General features: G+C 47.7%; 1 protein-coding gene and 1 non-coding gene across 3 annotated transcripts in view; both read right to left on the bottom strand.

Annotated features, from left to right (window-relative positions):
• POFUT1 (protein O-fucosyltransferase 1) overlaps nucleotides 8,805-16,178 on the bottom strand; it is a 30,779-nt gene continuing 23,405 nt past the window's right edge. For both annotated transcript variants that reach the window (NM_015352.2, XM_047440079.1), the window contains one exon: nucleotides 8,805-12,990. In NM_015352.2, coding sequence (NP_056167.1) covers nucleotides 12,802-12,990 — 189 coding nt within the window. In that variant the 3' untranslated portion in view covers nucleotides 8,805-12,801. The remainder of the gene's footprint in view (nucleotides 12,991-16,178) is intronic.
• MIR1825 (microRNA 1825) lies at nucleotides 9,616-9,668 on the bottom strand. Its single transcript, NR_031726.1, has one exon. It is a non-coding gene; the product is annotated as a microRNA 1825 (primary transcript).

The following is a 16,178-nucleotide window of genomic DNA, read 5'->3' as shown; positions in this document are numbered from 1 at the left end:
GGCCGAGGCAGGCGGATCACCTGAGGTCGGAAGTTCGAGGCCAGCCTGACCAACATGGTGAAACCCCGTCTCTACTTAAAAATACAAAATTAGCCAGGCATGGTGGCGCATGTCTGTAATCCCAGCTACTCAGGAGTCTGAGGCAGGAGAATTGCTTGAACCCAGGAGGTGGAGGTTGCGGTGAGCCGAGATCGCACCATTGCACTCCAGCCTGGGCAACAAAAGTGAAACTCCATCCCAAAAAAACAAACAAACAAACAAACAAACAAAAAACCAAAGGTGAGGCTGGGTACAGTGAGTCACGTCTGTAATTCCAGCATTTTGAGAGGCTGAGGCAGGAGGATCACTTGAACCCATGAGTTCGAGACCAGTCGGGGCAACATAGTGAGACCTCATCTCTACAAAAATTTAAAAATTAGCTAGGCATGCTCATGCATGCCTGTAGTCCCAGCTACTTGGGAGACTAAGGTGGGAGGATCGTGTGAGTCTTGGAGGTTGAGGCTGTAGTGGGCCATGATTGTACCCCTGCATTCCAGCCTTGATGACAGAGTGGGAGATTCAGGAGAATCGCCTGAATCTGGGAGGTGGAGGTTGCAGTGAGCTGAGATCGTGCCACCACACTCCAGCCTAGGCAACAGAGCAAGACTCCGTCACAAAATAAGTAAATAAATAAAAATCTCAAAACAAAAACAAAAACAAAGGCAGAACCCATGAAAAACCAAAGGTGAGGTCCATTATGATCTGGCCTCTCTCACTGTCATACCTCACCTCCTGCCCCGCTCCCTATGGCCAAAATCATCTCCCTTTCAGGACTTCTGCACTTGCTGTTCCTTCTACCTGAAATGGTCTTCCCCAGATACCCATATGGCTCACTCACTCACCTCCTTCAGGCCTCTGCTCAAATGTGACCTGAACACAGAGGCCTCCCCTGACCACCCCAGTTACTCTCTTTCTCTTTACTCTATTTCATTCTCATTCATAGTCTTCGTTACCGCCTCATACTTTCTTTTTCTTTGAGATGTGGTCTCTGTCACCAGGCTGGAATGCAGTGGCACAATCATGGCTCACTGCAGCCTTGACCTCCTAGGCTCAAGCAATCCTCCCAGCTCAGCCTCCCATGTACCTGGGACCACAGGTGTACACCACTATGCCCGGCTAATTTTTTTTTTTTTTTTTTTTGGACAGAGTCTCACTCTGTTGCCAGGCTGGAGTGCAGTGGCGCAGTCTCGGCTCACTGCTACCTCTGCCTCCCAGGTTCAAGCAATTATCCTGCCTTAGCCTCCTGAGTAGCTGGGAGTACAGGCACGCACTACCACACCCAGCTAACTTTTCTGTATTTTTAGTAGAGACGGGGTTTCACCATGTTGTCCAGGATGGTCTCAATCTCTTGACCTCATGATCTGCCAGCCTCAGCCTCCCAAAGTGCTGGGATTATAGGCGTGAGTCACTGTGCCCGGCTAATTTTTTATTTTTATTTATTTACTTATTTTGCGACGGAGTCTTGCTCTGTTGCCTAGGCTGGAGTGTAGTGGCACAATCTCACCTCACTGCAACCTCCACCTCCCAGATTCAGGTGATTCTCCTGCCTCAGCCTCTCGAGCAGCTGGGATTACAGGCACACACCATCACACCCGGCTAATTTTTGTAGTTTTAGTAGAGATGGGGTTTCACCATGTTGGCCAGGTTGGTCTCAAGCTCCTGACCTCAAGTGATCCGCCTGCCTTGGCCTCCCAAAGTGCTGGGATTACAGGCATGACCACCGTGCCGGGCCCCAGCTAATTGTTTAAAAAATAAAAGTGGTTAATTGGGCTGGGCACAGTGGTTCACGCCTGTAATCCCCGCACTTTGGGAGCTCAAGGCGGGCAGATCACCTGAGGCCAGGAGTTGGAGACCAGCCTGGCCAACATGGTGAAAATCCATCTCTATTAAAAATATAAAAATTAGCCAGGCGTGGTGGCACATGCCTGTAACTCCAGCTACTTGGGAGGCTGAGGCATGAGAATCAGTTGAACCTGGGAGGCAGAGGTTGCAGTGAGCCGAGATTGTGCCACTGCACTCCAGCCTGGGTGATGGAGTGAGACTCTATCTCAAAAAAAAAAAAAAAAAAAAGAAAAGAAAAAAAACTGGTTAAGTATTGGATGATGAGAGTGTGGCTGAGTTTTTTTGTTGTTTTGTTTTTTGAGACAGGGTCTTGCTCTGTCGCCCAGGCTGGAGTACAATGGTGCCATCACGGCTTACTACAACCTCCACCTCCTGGGCTCAAGTGATCCTCTCACCTCAGCCTCCTAAAGTGCTGGGATTACAGGCGTGACTCACTGCACCTGGCCTCATCTTTGGTTTTACAGGACTACAGGCATGTGCCATTATGCCTGGCTAATTTTCGTTTGTTCTTTTTTTTTTCTTTCTTTTGGTAGAGACAGGGTTTTCTCACATTGCCAGGCTGGTCTCAACTCTTGGGCTCAAGCCATCCTTCCACCTTGGCCTCCCAAAGTGCTGAGATTACAGACATAAGCCTGGCCCCAGCTAATGTTTCGTTATTTATTTCTTATCTGTTTCTTCCCCACTAGAATGCCAGTACCATGGGAGGAAGACTTAATTCATAATGGTTCAATGGCTTAATTTGTATTCTCATTTTACAGATGAGAACACTGAGTCTCATAATTACACTCCGGATTAATTTTAAAGCTAGGCCTTGCACCCGCGCCCTTACACTCCAAACCTAATGCCCTTTCCAAAGGGTGACTCAGTTCCAAAGCCCTCATTTTACAGTTGCAGAGGAGGCAAGAGTTCACGGAAGGCCAGGGCCTGTTGCAAAGAGGCAGTTCTCTGCCTCTCCCCATTCTCTGCCCCTACATCATTGGCCTGGGTCCTTAACTCCCTCCAAGCCCTACTCCCCAGAAGCCTAACCCCTTGGAGGTGGGAGGGGGTTTCTCCTGCCAGCCCATCTCCCCAGCAGGCAAAGTGCTCAGAGTTCCTGTTCGCTTACCGGCAGCAGCTGGGAGAAAATGGTCTCACTGTAAGCAAACACAACATTTAAAAGCCAGAGGGAGATGTAAAGGAAACTTATAGCAGGCAATGCCTGGCAGGGTTGCCAGAGCCCCCATAATGCTTAATCCTTCATATTTGAGGCCCTCCTAAGACTTGCAAAACATTTTCATGAACTTTGGAATCTCTCTGACAGCCTCATGCCAACTGCTGGTTCCTAGCTGAAGAATCTGAATTTCAGAAAGGTTATGCAATTTCACTAAATAATAACACACTTTTATTATCAACCATCTACTATGTATCAGGTACTGTGGCAATATTATTTATATCTATCTATATCTATATCTATATCTATATCTGTGTGTGTGTGTGCGTGTGTATTTTTTTTTTAGATGCAGTCTTGCTCTGTTGCCCAGGCTGGAGTGCGGTAGCACCATCACAGCTCACTACAGCATCTGCCTCCTGGGCTCAAGTGATCCTCCTGCCTCAGCCACCTAAGTAGCTGGGACCACAGGCACACAGCACCACACCTGGCTAAATTTTTAATTTTTATTTTGTATTGATGGGAGTTTTGCCATATTGCTCAGGCTGTTCTTGATTTCTTGGTCTCAAGTGATTCTCCTGACTCAGCCTCCCAAAATACTGGGATTAAAGGCATGAGCCACCACGCTAGGCCTATTTCTGTATTGTAGATGCAAAAACTGAGGTTCAGACAGGCTAGTGACTTGTTTGAGTCCCACAATGACTTGAGTTAGTGACTGGGCTGGGATTTGAAGCCAAGTCTCCCAGACTGTGTATAGCCAGCACACTGTAGCACCAGGACAGAAATCAAAGTGCACAAATCCAAGACTTTTGTACTTTTAGTAGAGACTGGGTTTTGCCATTTTGGCCAGGCTGATCTCCAACTCCTGATCTCAAGTGATCCACCTGCCTCCACCTCCTAAAGTGCTGGGATTACAGGCGTGAGCCACCACACCTGGCCATGAAACTTTGAGCAGTGTTTGCCTCTGGAGTGGGGTTTGCGCTAGCAAGGGGGCACTTATTTTTCACACTACAGGTATATTATTTTGAACTTTTTGAATTTTTCACCCTGTACATGAATTTATTGTCATTACATTTTTGACTAATTTATGCAGCCAAAGTCCTGCCTTTTGGCATTGCCCTCAAGGGGCACTATGAGGACCCTTTCACTCCTATGATGCCTCAGGGCCCTTAGTGAGCCCTGCAAAGCCCCTGCTCGTACCCTTACCCCATGTATTTGCCTCTAATCCTGAGACAACTTCTGGTTAAGATCCCCAAGGGTAAGGACCAAACCTCTTAGTTTGGCATTCCAGAGCCTTCTCACATGGCTCAAACCTCCTGATGCTGCCTCATCTCTTGTCTCCACCTCCCTAAACCTATGGCCAGCACTGCTTGCTGCTCCCCACAGACTTAGCTCTCAACACCTGGGTCAGCACCTTTGTTCACGCAATCCCTCCATCTATAATTCCTTTTCTTATCTCCCATGTGTGGCTGTTAAAATCATACCCAGCATTTGACTCGACTCCTATCTCCTCCACGAACCCTCCATGATGCCAGACGTATATGTACACATACACATATATGGGTTGAATGAGTGAATATATATATATATATATATATATTCTTTTTTTTTTTTTTTTTTGAGAGAGTCTTGCTCTGTTGCCCAGGCTGGAGTGCAGTGGCGTGATCCTGGCTTACTGTAACCTCTGCCTCCCAGGTTCAAGCAATTCTCCTGCCTCAGCCTCCCAAGTAGCTGGGATTACAGGGCCTGCCACCATGCCTGGCTAATTTTTGTATTTTCTTTTTTTATTTTTTTGAGATGGAGTTTCGCTCTTGTTGCCCAGGTTGGAGTGCAATGGCGTGATCTCGGCTCACCGCAACCTCCACCTCCCAGATTCAAGCGATTCTCCTGCCTCAGCCTTCCCAAATAGCTGGGATTACAGGCATTCACTACCACGCCCAGCTAATTTTGTATTTTTAGTGGAGACGGGGTTTCTCCATGTTGGTCAGGCTAGTCTCGAACTCCCGACCTCAGGTGATCTGCCCGCCTTGGCCTTCCAAAGTGCAGGGATTACAGGCGTGAGCCACCACGCCTGGCCTAATTTTTGTATTTTTAGTAGAGACAGAGTTTCCCCACGGTGGCCAGGCTGGTCTTGAACTCTTGACCTCAGGTGATCCGCCCACCTCGGCCTCCCAAAGTGCTGGGATTACAGGCGTGAGCCACCATGCCCGGCCATAAATTTAGGACACTTTTATAAACCAAGCACTGGGCTAGGCGCTGATGTTGGGAGATGCATCAGGCATGGTCCCTATTCCTGGGGGACACTTCTGGTCCAGCTGGGGAAACAAGTTAGCAAATAATTTGGTCTGATGGGTAACATGACATCAGAGGCAGCACAATGCGTGGCTTTGGGGCACTGACTCGTGTGCCATGCTTCTAGGGCCCAAGTCCCAGCTCTTCCACTCACAGGCTCTACAACCTTAAGCTGGGTGCTTCACCTCACTGCTTCTCAGTGCTCTTATCTGTAACATGGAGATAATAAGAAAAGCAGCCTCTTAGGGATATTCTCTAATGAGGCGAGTTAATTGAAGTAAAGTGCTTAGAACACTGTAGCACATGGTAAATGACATATGTTAGTCATTTAATACATGTTACTTATTATCTGAGACAGGGTCTCCCTCTGTCCCAGGCTGGAGTGCAGTGGCACAAACATGGCTCACTGTAACCTCTTGGGCTCAAGTGATCCTCCCACCTCAGCCTCCTGAGTAGCTGGAACCATAGGCACTTGCCACCATGCCTGGCTAATTTTTTGACTTTTGGTAGAGATGGAGGGGGGGGCGGGTCTCACTTTGTTGCTCAGGGTGGTCTCGAACTCCTGGGCTCAAGCGATCCACCTGCCTCAGCCTCCCAAACTGCTGGGATTACAGGCGTGGGCCACTGTGCCCAGCCCATGTTACTTATTATTACAATTTCAAGGTTCTATGGGAGCTCAGAAAAGGAGAATTTCATAGAATCTTGAAACATTTACGATATGTTTTAAGCAGAGCAAAAGCTTAGACAATAGTGCGGAGGTGTGAAAAGTGAGGAGAGTTTCTCTCACAAAAGCCCCTTGGGTATTGTTTTGAGCTATCTTCAGGGGCCAGCCGAGTAAGGATCTCCCAAACTTTATCTTCATAATTCATGCCACACCATCTACTTAATACTTTTTCTCTGAACCAACTCACTTTTTGTAACCTAAGTTTCTTAAAAGGAAACTTTAAATCACATCTTTAAACAGAAAAACACAAGTACAAAGGATCAAAAATAAATAAAATGGCAGGGCACGGTGGCTCACTGTAATCCCAGCACTTTGGGAAGCTGAGGCAGGAGGATCCCTTGAGGCCAGGAGTTCGAGACCAGCCTGGGCAACACAGCGAAACCCCATCTGTACTAAAAATACAAAAGTTAGCTGGTGCAGTGGTGCGTGCCTGTGATCCCAGCTGCTTGGGAGGCTGAGGTGAAAGAATGGCTTGAGCCTGGGAGGTTGAGGCTGCAGTGAGCCAAGATCAAGCCACTGTACTCCATCCTGGGCAAGAGTGAGAACCTGTCTCAATAAATAAATAAATAAATAAATAAATAATTCATTTATTTACTTAGTAATAGTGTTACTAAATTCCAGAAAACTAAGATTGTCTGACTCTGAGGTCTACTCTGTTACAAGGACAGATTATTAGCAAGCAGTAGAGAGGAGTTAATGACACAATAGCACTGAACTGAGACTTTCTCTTTGGGCATTGTTAGCAGGATTGAGAAAAACTGAAAAGATAATTCTTGCCTTCTGCCAGTGCCTGCCCAGGACCTCCTAAACCAGCTTGTGCAGTGTCAGAGAGGGGAAAACATCCCCCACACTGGAGGAGATGAATATCAAATGGATCAATGTGTTGCCAATTTTTTTGCAAAGGTGGATTTTTCAGAGGGGTGGGGTATCCTCCCCGGGGTGCTGCCCCCAGGTGGGCATTGTTCTGAGTCACTGCACTTGAGGAATGGGGTTTCTGGGAAATGCCTTCTGTTTCTTCCATTCTCACTGTTTACCTGGTTATGCTTGGCATCCTGGGCTGATGATCAATAAAGGATTAGATGTAAAAACAAACCAAACCTGCTTGCCCTTAAATAATGTTATTTCAAGGGAAAGGTCTCAACCCTGAAATAAACCAGGTTTCAAGCAAGAATTTGAATTCACTTTGACAACATAATCCAGAGTGCAGGATTTGCCTTCAGGCTATGGGTTTTTTCTGTCAATTCCACTAAGGACAGAAGGAGAACTGAGGAGAGGAAGGATCTTTATTTTCAGGCCAGTGAAAGCTTATTATTATTTTTGTTGTAGTTACTATTAATAGATTATTTGCTGAGCTTCTTTGAACAGAAAATAGAAATGAGAACTCAACTCTTTCTTCCTCCCTCTGTCCTTTCTCCTCTTTCTTCTTTATTTTCTTATTCTCTCTCCCCTCCCTTCCAAATGTCTGGAGATCTACAATGTTTCAGGACAGTGTTTCCAGCTTTGGTTCCTTTGAACACCAGCTTCTCCATTTCTCTATCCAATCAGATGCAGATTTTGAAAAATGGAATTCCCTTTTAATTTTGAAAAATTGAATTCCCTTTTTTTTTTCCTCTCTTTTGAGACAGGGTCCCACTCCAATGTCCAGGCTGGAGTGCAGTGGTGCCATCACAGCTCACTGTAGCCTCGACCTCCTCCTGGGCTCAAGTGATCCTCCCACCTCAGCCTCCCGAGTAGCTGGGACTACAGATGCATGCCACATGCCTGGCTAATTTTTGCATTTTTTTGTAGAGACGGGGTTTCCCTATGTTACCCAGACTGGTCTCGAACTCCTGGGCTCAAGCGATTGGCCTGTGTCAACCTCCCAAAATGCTAGGATGATGGGAGTGAGCCACTGCGCCCAGGCTTCCCTTCCTTTTCTTATATATAAATTTGGGCTGACCGTAAAACAATGAGATTTGATCATCTGGTTGTAAAGCCCCTACAAATATACAATAGGAGATGTAGGTCAGTACAAACTGGGCAGCAGGCAGTTCCTAAAGCCACCTTGTTGACCATGCCTGGTGGAACCCGTGAGGCTTGCCAGGGAGGGGCTGCAGAGGTCTTCCATTACCGTGGGCTGAATGACCACACAGTGAGATCCCCACTTCCTTCAGATCAGTGTTGCTCAAGTTTTAGCCCCAAGAGAGCTTAAGAGATTCCTGGGCTGCGTCCCCAGAGATCCTGACTCAGTGGTTCTGGGCGGGGGCCTGGGATTCTGCATTTCTAGCAAGTTCCCCCAGGTGATGCTGATGCCGCTGGTCTGACGACCACAGTTTCAGGTCTTGGGCCACTGGGCATCCAAATCACTTGCAGGTGCTTGTGAAAAGGCAGATTCCTGGGCACTACCCCCGAGACATTCTGATTCTCAGGTTCAGGGTGGCTCCTGGGAATCTGCCATATCAACCAGCCCTGGAAGGAACCTCTGAAGACCACCCTTTGGGAAGCACTGCCTAGACCATTAGCACCTGTAATGCTGAGGTGAGGAATGCGGAGGTGAAGGGATTTGCTTCAAGGTCACTCTGCAAGTCAGGGACAACTCCCTGGTGCCTGGGCCCTAAATCTTGGAGCACCCTGGGCTCCTCTTTCCTTCCCAGTCCACATTCAGCATGTCAGCAAATCCTGTTGGCTCTTCTTTCAAAACACATTTAGGTTTTCTTGAAGACTCTAGCAAACAGACTTGGGTGTGGGAGAGTCAATGCAACTAGACTGGTAAAATGTGGGTCATTGTTGAAACTGTGAGTTCATTTTATTACTCACAATTTTTTATTTATATTTGAATTCTTCCATAACAAAAAGTTTTAAGTGTTTGATCTAACAAATTCACTTCTGGGAATTTATCTTAAACAACTTTTTTTTTTTGCTTCCCGTCCAACAACTTTATTAATGAACATTTTAAATAAAGAAAAACTCTTACAAATAAAAATATTTTTTCAAATAACAATAGTGAAAAATTGGGGGCACATGAAGTCTCCTTTTTTTTGAGATGGAGTCTCGCTCTGTTGCCCAGGCTGGAATGCAGTGGCACCATCTCGGCTCACTGCAACCTCCACCTCCCAGGTTCAAGCCATTCTCCTGCCTCAGCCTCCCAAGCAGCTGGGAATACAGGCATGTGCCACCACGCCTGGCTATTATTATTATTTTTTTGTATTTTTAGTAGAGATAATTCACCATGTTGGCCAGGCTGGTCTTGAACTCCTCACCTCAAGTGATCTGCCCACCTCGGCCTCGCAAAGTGCTGGGATTACAGGCATGAGCCACCACACTTGGCCTAAATTCTCATAATAGGAAAACAATAAACTATGGAACACTCCTCGACAGAATTTTTTATAATTAAGAGCATTTATCCAGGCTACATACCAACAGGGAAAACATGATACACTATTAAGTAAAACACTAGGACATTAAATTGTATATATTACATGATTAAAACTATGTAAATATTTGTATCTTTGAAAAAGACTGAAAAATAATTACATATGTTCAGAATCTAATCATTTCCCACCTCCTTCAATGCAATGGCCTTTGTCTCTTGGGAGAGGAGGGCACTGGAGTCCTAGTCTAGGGGAGCCCAGCACCCCAGTCTCTCGCCTGCAACCCTGTTAACAGCCCTGCACTGGTCTCTCTGCTTTCACCCTTTCTCTCTCCAACCTCCTCAGCACTGGCCAGCTAGAGAGGTCCTTCAGAATGTGAATCAGCTCATGCCCCTCTTCTGCTCAGAACCCTAGGAGGCTTCCTGTATCTCTCCAACTAAAAGCTTCCTGCCATGGCCGTCCAGGCTGCAGAATGTCAGCTCGCCTGCTCTGACCTGCTGCTCGGTTCCCTGCCTATGCCTGCCTCTCCAGCCATGCTGGCCTCCTGGCTGCTCTTCAGGAACACACTCCAGTCTCGGGGCCTTTGCACGTGCTGTTTTCTCTGCCAGGAATGTGCTCCCTCCCTCCTTCATGACAGCTCTTCAGAGAGGTCTTACCTGGGCTCATCTAAAATAGATCCACTCCCTCTTTTTGCTCCCAAACCCTTTATATTTCTTTATAGCACTTATTAACATGTCCCACAGTACATTTATTACATCTTCTACTTTCTAGAATGCAAATTCCTTGAGAACAAAGACTTTACGCTTGATTCTCTCCTGTATCCCCAGTACCTAGCATAGAGCCTGACACATAGTAGGTGATGAACAAACACCTGCTGAATGCAAGACTGTTGTACTGAGCAACCATCCAACGGGGGCTGTAAGCGGCATGTAGGCTTTGTTTCTTGGGTAACCTCCCCTCCTTAATCCTTCTGGCATAGGCAGACTCACAGCAGGTACCCAGTAGAAGGTAAGGTGGCTGATCATTTTTCCATAGGAGGTCTCCATGGCACACAGGGTAGAAAGTGCATTCTGTGAATTAGAGGCAGCAGAGCATGGCAGCTAATGGAAACTGGCTCTGGGAGGTCAAATTCTGGCTTAACACCACCAGCTGGGCAGCCTTGGGAAAATTATGACAATTCTCAGGGCATTAATTTTTCCTTGTGCAGAAAGAGAAGGATAATGACAGCTCCTATTTCCCAGGGCTGGGGAATAAATAAGAGAATGCCCCCATAAAGCAATTAGCAAGCACAGTGCCTGGCATGGAGGTGACGAGCAACGAGAAGCAGTCAAATTAATCAACAGCCACATTTGTGCCTTTGTCTCTTTCAAGTTTACAACGTGCTCTTATATACATGCTTTAGCTGATCTGGGCCTTTGAACAACCTGTCGGTTTTTATCACCATTTTATAGGTAAGAAAATTGGGTCAGAGGAAAAAGTGCTAGCTCACAGAACACAACTGAATTTTGCTAGAACTTCTGGTGCCCTTTCTTTCAGAACACAAGTGATTATTACTGCTGATATGAATCAAGGTGATTTGGAGCTGGGCATGCAGTCTCAGCTACCAGAGAGGCTGAGGCAGAAGGATCGCTTGAGCCTGGGAGATCAAGGCTGCAGTAAGCCATGATCATGCCACTGCACTCCAGCCTGGGAGACAGAGCAAGGCCCTGTCTTGGGGGGAAAAAAAATTAGGCGGGCCCCACTGGAGCCCCAGACTCTAAAGTGTGTGCCTAGTGTAAGGCTGTGGATGGCAAATGAATTCCAAAATGAAATCAGCCAGCCAGCTACAGGCTTACAACCTAGTGGTGGCAGGGAGTGTACGGGCTCCCTCATCTGCAGCTCCTTCTCTGGATGAGGCTTGAGAGCAAGTCTGGACAGGCAAACCATCTCTCAGTCCACCCAGGACTTAAAACACTTCATTGTTTTCCCAAAAGGGAAAAATAGCAAAGCCCTTTCTGTACAGTTTCTCCTGCTTAGAGTTGGGTGGCAGCTCTATACAGCAAATGCTGACTTTGCTGTTTGAGATCTTTGATACAGTGTGACCTCTGAGCTCTGAACCAGGCTGCCCCTGACAAAAAAAGTGTTTCCTCCCACAGGTAAACAAGGAAGAAGGCACTGCAAGGAGCTCTGGGCCTGGCTCAGTGGAGGCTCTGCCACCTTTCCAGGATCAAAGGCCAAGGGAGGTGACATGGCAAGGAAAAGATCTACAGGGGTCAGACAAGGAATTTTAGAACCACAAGGTCAAAAAACCATGGGCTCTCAGGAGTCACAGATTATTAAAACTGCAGCATTTGAGACCAAAACACTCATGACTTAGAGCACCTTAAGCCTCATGGTGTTGGCAGAGATTACATTGGAAGGGAAGAGTCAAAAGGTGCTTCTCCACTGATAATTCTGATGGCTTCTGGGCCCTGGGCATCTTCTGTGAGGTCAGAGCCTTGGCAAACGTTCCCTCGTGAGAATACGGCCTGAAGGCTCCAGCTGCAGGAGGACGGCTGGGAGAACAGGCTTTGGATATCAACCGAATGCCAACATTCTACCAACCAGGCCCCACTGGGGCAAGAGATCAGAAGAGATCTGATGGTGCCAGGTTTGCAGTGGCCATCAACCACCAAAAGACTGTGAGAACAATACCATGATAGTGTGGCTTGATGGTATGTGCTCCTTGCCAGGAACATGCTGCGTGAGTGGCACTTAGTCGCCCACAGAGCGCTGCACAGCACCACAACCGATAACTTCCATTTGCATAGTGTTTACAGCACAGGACAGCATTCATCCCCCAAGCCCCAGAAATGGCCTAGGAAGTAGGGGACAACAATGGCTCTGGCCAGGCAGTGGGGATGGCTCTTGAGGGCCACATTGGGGGACACCTTGAAAAGCAGCCAAAAGACCCACACCAGCCCCAGCCTCATCCACATTCAGTTAAGGTCACTTTAGGTACCTACATTAATAGAATTCAATGATTTTCAAAAACCACAGAGAGTTCTAGGATAGTCATGACCTTGTATCAAAATTATAGAAATCTCTCTATAAAAAAATCTCTCTGAAGAGTTCAGCATCCCAGGCTGCTCAGAGCAGAGTGGACCAGAAGACGGAGGCTGGACTGCTTTGCCAGTGTGAGAAATTCCCAGAAGAGCAGAAAGCACGTGCGATGGGAGATGCTCCTGCTCCTAGGAACCTGCAAGTCCTATGCCCTGGGATATGGAGCGTCTCCCTCCTTGAGGGGTCCCTGGCACTCTTCTCCATCTTTGGCAGGTGAGAAGAGGAGTTTGCAATCCCGGAGCACCTCTGGCTGCCAGGCCTGGCTGGAAGGACCAGCTCAGACTCTGGTCCCTCCAGGATCAGAGGGTCTGGTGCTCCGGCCAGAATCAGAACTCGTCCCGCAGCTTAGGGGGCCTGTCCATGCCGAAGAAAGAAGACGGCCTCCCCTGGAGGTCCCGCTCCCGCTTCACAAAGGCAGTGAAGGAGGAGACACAGTTGCCAATAAAGTGGTCGGCTTGGCCGAGGATGTACAGGTCGACCTGGGCCACCTCAGGCTTCAGGCTCACCACCTTCACCTGCAGGAAGAAGCACAGAGCATATAAGCTGGGGTGGCTACAGGCCAAGGCCTGCCATCCACACCCCCAACCTTATTCCCTGAGCTGCAGTTACAGACACAAAAGGAGGGGCAGAGAAGAGGAAGATGTGGTTCAGTGTCTGAGGGAAGCATTGCCCAGCTGCTGCCTAGGCCCACCCCACCCTTCCGGGCTCCAGGAGCCTCAGCTCCAAACACACCATTCACACCTTCATGTCTTCACTTGTGCTGTTCCCTCTGCCTGGAATGCTGCTTCAACACCCATTAAAATACCGACCAGACTCTTTTATTTTATTAATTTTTTGAGATGGGCTTTTGCTATACTGCCCAGGTGGGTCTTAACCTCCCAGGCTCAAGCAATCTCCCACCTCAGCCTCCCAAGTAGCTGGGACTACAAGTGTGCACCACCACACGTGGTTAATTTAAAACAATTTTTTTAGAGGAGGAGTCTTGCTATGTTGCTCAGGCTGGTCTTGAACTCTGAGATTCAAGTGATCCTCCTGCCTCAGCCTCCCAAATAGCTGGGATTACAGGTGTGAGCCACTGTGCTTGGCCTGACCAGACTCTTAAGGCTAAGCTCAAATTCTATTTTTCCTAAAGCCCTGGCCTGGTGGACTTCCCCACCAAACCAGAGAGGGGAACAGAGAGCTCCACACCTTCCAATTCTGGGCTGGATGCCTCCATCTCCCATGTACCCCAAATCCAAGCCCAAGGTCCGTCCAATCTACCCCTGAGATATTCCCCAAAGGTGAGCCCTTCTCTTGAGGGAGGGCCACTCCTTGGGCCCAATCATCACAATCTCTTGCCTGATGGACTGCAACAGCCTCTCCCTGGTCCCCTCACTGCCTCTCCTGGTCTGCTCACCACAGAGCAGCCAGAAGAAACTTTTCGAGATAACCTCACACCTGTCCTTCCCGCCCTCCAAGTGGAACACCCTTTAATGATGCCCTATTGCCCTTCAGATAAGGGTGACAAATTGTGAACGTGGCCTACAAGGTCCTCGCTGGGCCTCTTCTTATCCCACCCCCATCATCCAGCCCCTACCCAGGCTCCCGCCCTCCTCAGGACCTTTGTGCGTGCTGTGCTGTTTGGGGTGTACCTCCCTTTACCTGGTTAGCTCCTAGTTCTCCTTCGCATCTCGGCTTCAGTGGTGCCTCCTTGGGGAAGCGCTCCCTGGCCCTCTAGCCTAGGCCAGCATCCTCTGCTCTTCACTCTCACAGAACCCTGCTGCTCTACTTTGGAGCACACATCTCTGCTTATAGTTTCCACTCCTTAGTGATTCTCTGATTAGCATCATCTCCTGCCCCTGACTGGGGCTAGAGCTGTGTTGGTTTGCTCTCCACTGCTGGCCAGGCCCAGCACAGAGCCTGCCCCAGTAAAAATCTGGTGAGTGGACAGGTGAATGAATGGACCTGCCCATCTCTCTAGCAAGCTCCTGAATCCACCTTGTGGCCCACGTTATAGCTCTCTGCAGTCTCTTTTCCTGGGTCTAGAATGTGAGCCCTGGAGAGCGGGACCACATCTTATTTACTGGTACCCTTACTCAGCACTGGACCAGCTTAATGGAGGAGGAAGGCTTAGTTCAGGATAAAGGTGGCCTCTGAACCCATGGAGAAGGGAGTTGAGGGGTGGGGAGGGATGAGAAGACTGGCATAGGGACAGGAAATAGAAAATGGCAAGAGGTTCAAGGTGTAACAGATACACTGACTCCAAAAACTCACAAAAAAACTCCCTGGGACTCTCCAAATGCTTCAGCTTAGTATAGAGGTAGTTGGGGGTTGTAGGTAGGTGGGGGGAATGTGGGCAGAGTTGGGGCTGAAAGTGCTTTGCTGTTCCACAGAGATTTCTGATGTAACAAAAATCATCATCTTGCTATCTGGATTGTAGCAAAGAAATAATACCAGTTTAATCATGGCCAAAATCCCCCAAACAATTCCACTCACATTCTGAAACTTACCCACTCTGTGTCATGCCCATTATAATTAGCTCTGGGACTGCTTGGGTAAACTCTATCCTTTCTTGGAATTTTGGTTTCCTCAGCTATAAAATAGAGGGGTTGGGTTAGACAACCCCTGAGATCTCTCAGCTCTGATTTTCTCTTAATTATATTTTTCTTCTGCTTTTCTTTCTTTCTTTCTTTCTTTTTTTTAAATAGAGATGGGGGTCTCGCTATGTTAGGCCAGGCTGGTCTCGAACTTCTGGCCTCAAGCAATTCTCCTGCCTTGGCCTGGGATTACAGGCATGAGCCACTGTGCCCAGCCCCAGCTCTGATTTTCTGTTCAGTAGGTGGGGAGGAGATTAGAATGTGCTGACTTAGCACTTCCTCTCTGCACTGGAGCTTCCTGTGTCTGGGGTGAAAGAGAAGGGGAGGCCCTTGATATAAAGCCAGCGGTACCCAGTGTCTGCCTCTTAAGGCCTGCACAGCATTTACGGTTTTCACTCATCCTACAAAGTCCTATGGAATGCTTAATACTAATTCAGTCATTTTATCAATACGTACTCACTCATTGCCTGAGTATTACTCTTCACTGATATAGTAAGCACTGACCAAGAACATTCTAGTATTTACTCATGTACTGAATACTCACTATTCACGGCTTCTTCAACAGTTTGCTAAGCACAAAGATCCTTTCCTTCATTCATCAGCCACCAATTTCTACTACTGATGATAGCTAACTTTATTGAGCACTTATTTTGTAGCAGGAACTGTTTCAATTTCTTTACATCTGACCTTCACAACTGCCCTATGAGATAGGTACTATTCAGTCCCATTTTATAGATGAGGAAACAGAAGCACAGAGAGGTCAAATAACTTTTTCAAGGCTGCAGAGTGGGTAAATTCAAGTTCTCTGACTCCAGAGTCTCTGCTATTAACTCCTCCACTATACTGGATCTCTCCCCAGAGCCCACTCTCTACATCCTCATTCAACAAACTGACTGCCTACTAAGTGTCAGGCACTGTACTAGACACTGGTGATGGTAAGGCAGGGTTTCAGTCCCAAAGAGGTCGAAGCACCAGGCTAGACATCAAGGAATGTTAACAGTGAGTCAGCCTTGGACCCTGCCTTCAAGGAGCCCACAGCTCCTGGGAGGAAATAAGACATATTTCTACACCAGTCTCATACAGTCCAGAAAGTGCCCGAGAGAAGAAATGATATAGGGCCACGAAGG

This window comes from Homo sapiens, chromosome 20 (genome assembly GCF_000001405.40).
Source record: "Homo sapiens chromosome 20, GRCh38.p14 Primary Assembly".
NCBI classification, from domain to species: domain Eukaryota; kingdom Metazoa; phylum Chordata; class Mammalia; order Primates; family Hominidae; genus Homo; species Homo sapiens.
Note: the sequence above shows the minus strand (reverse complement) of the source record. Positions and strands in the feature narration are given on the sequence as shown.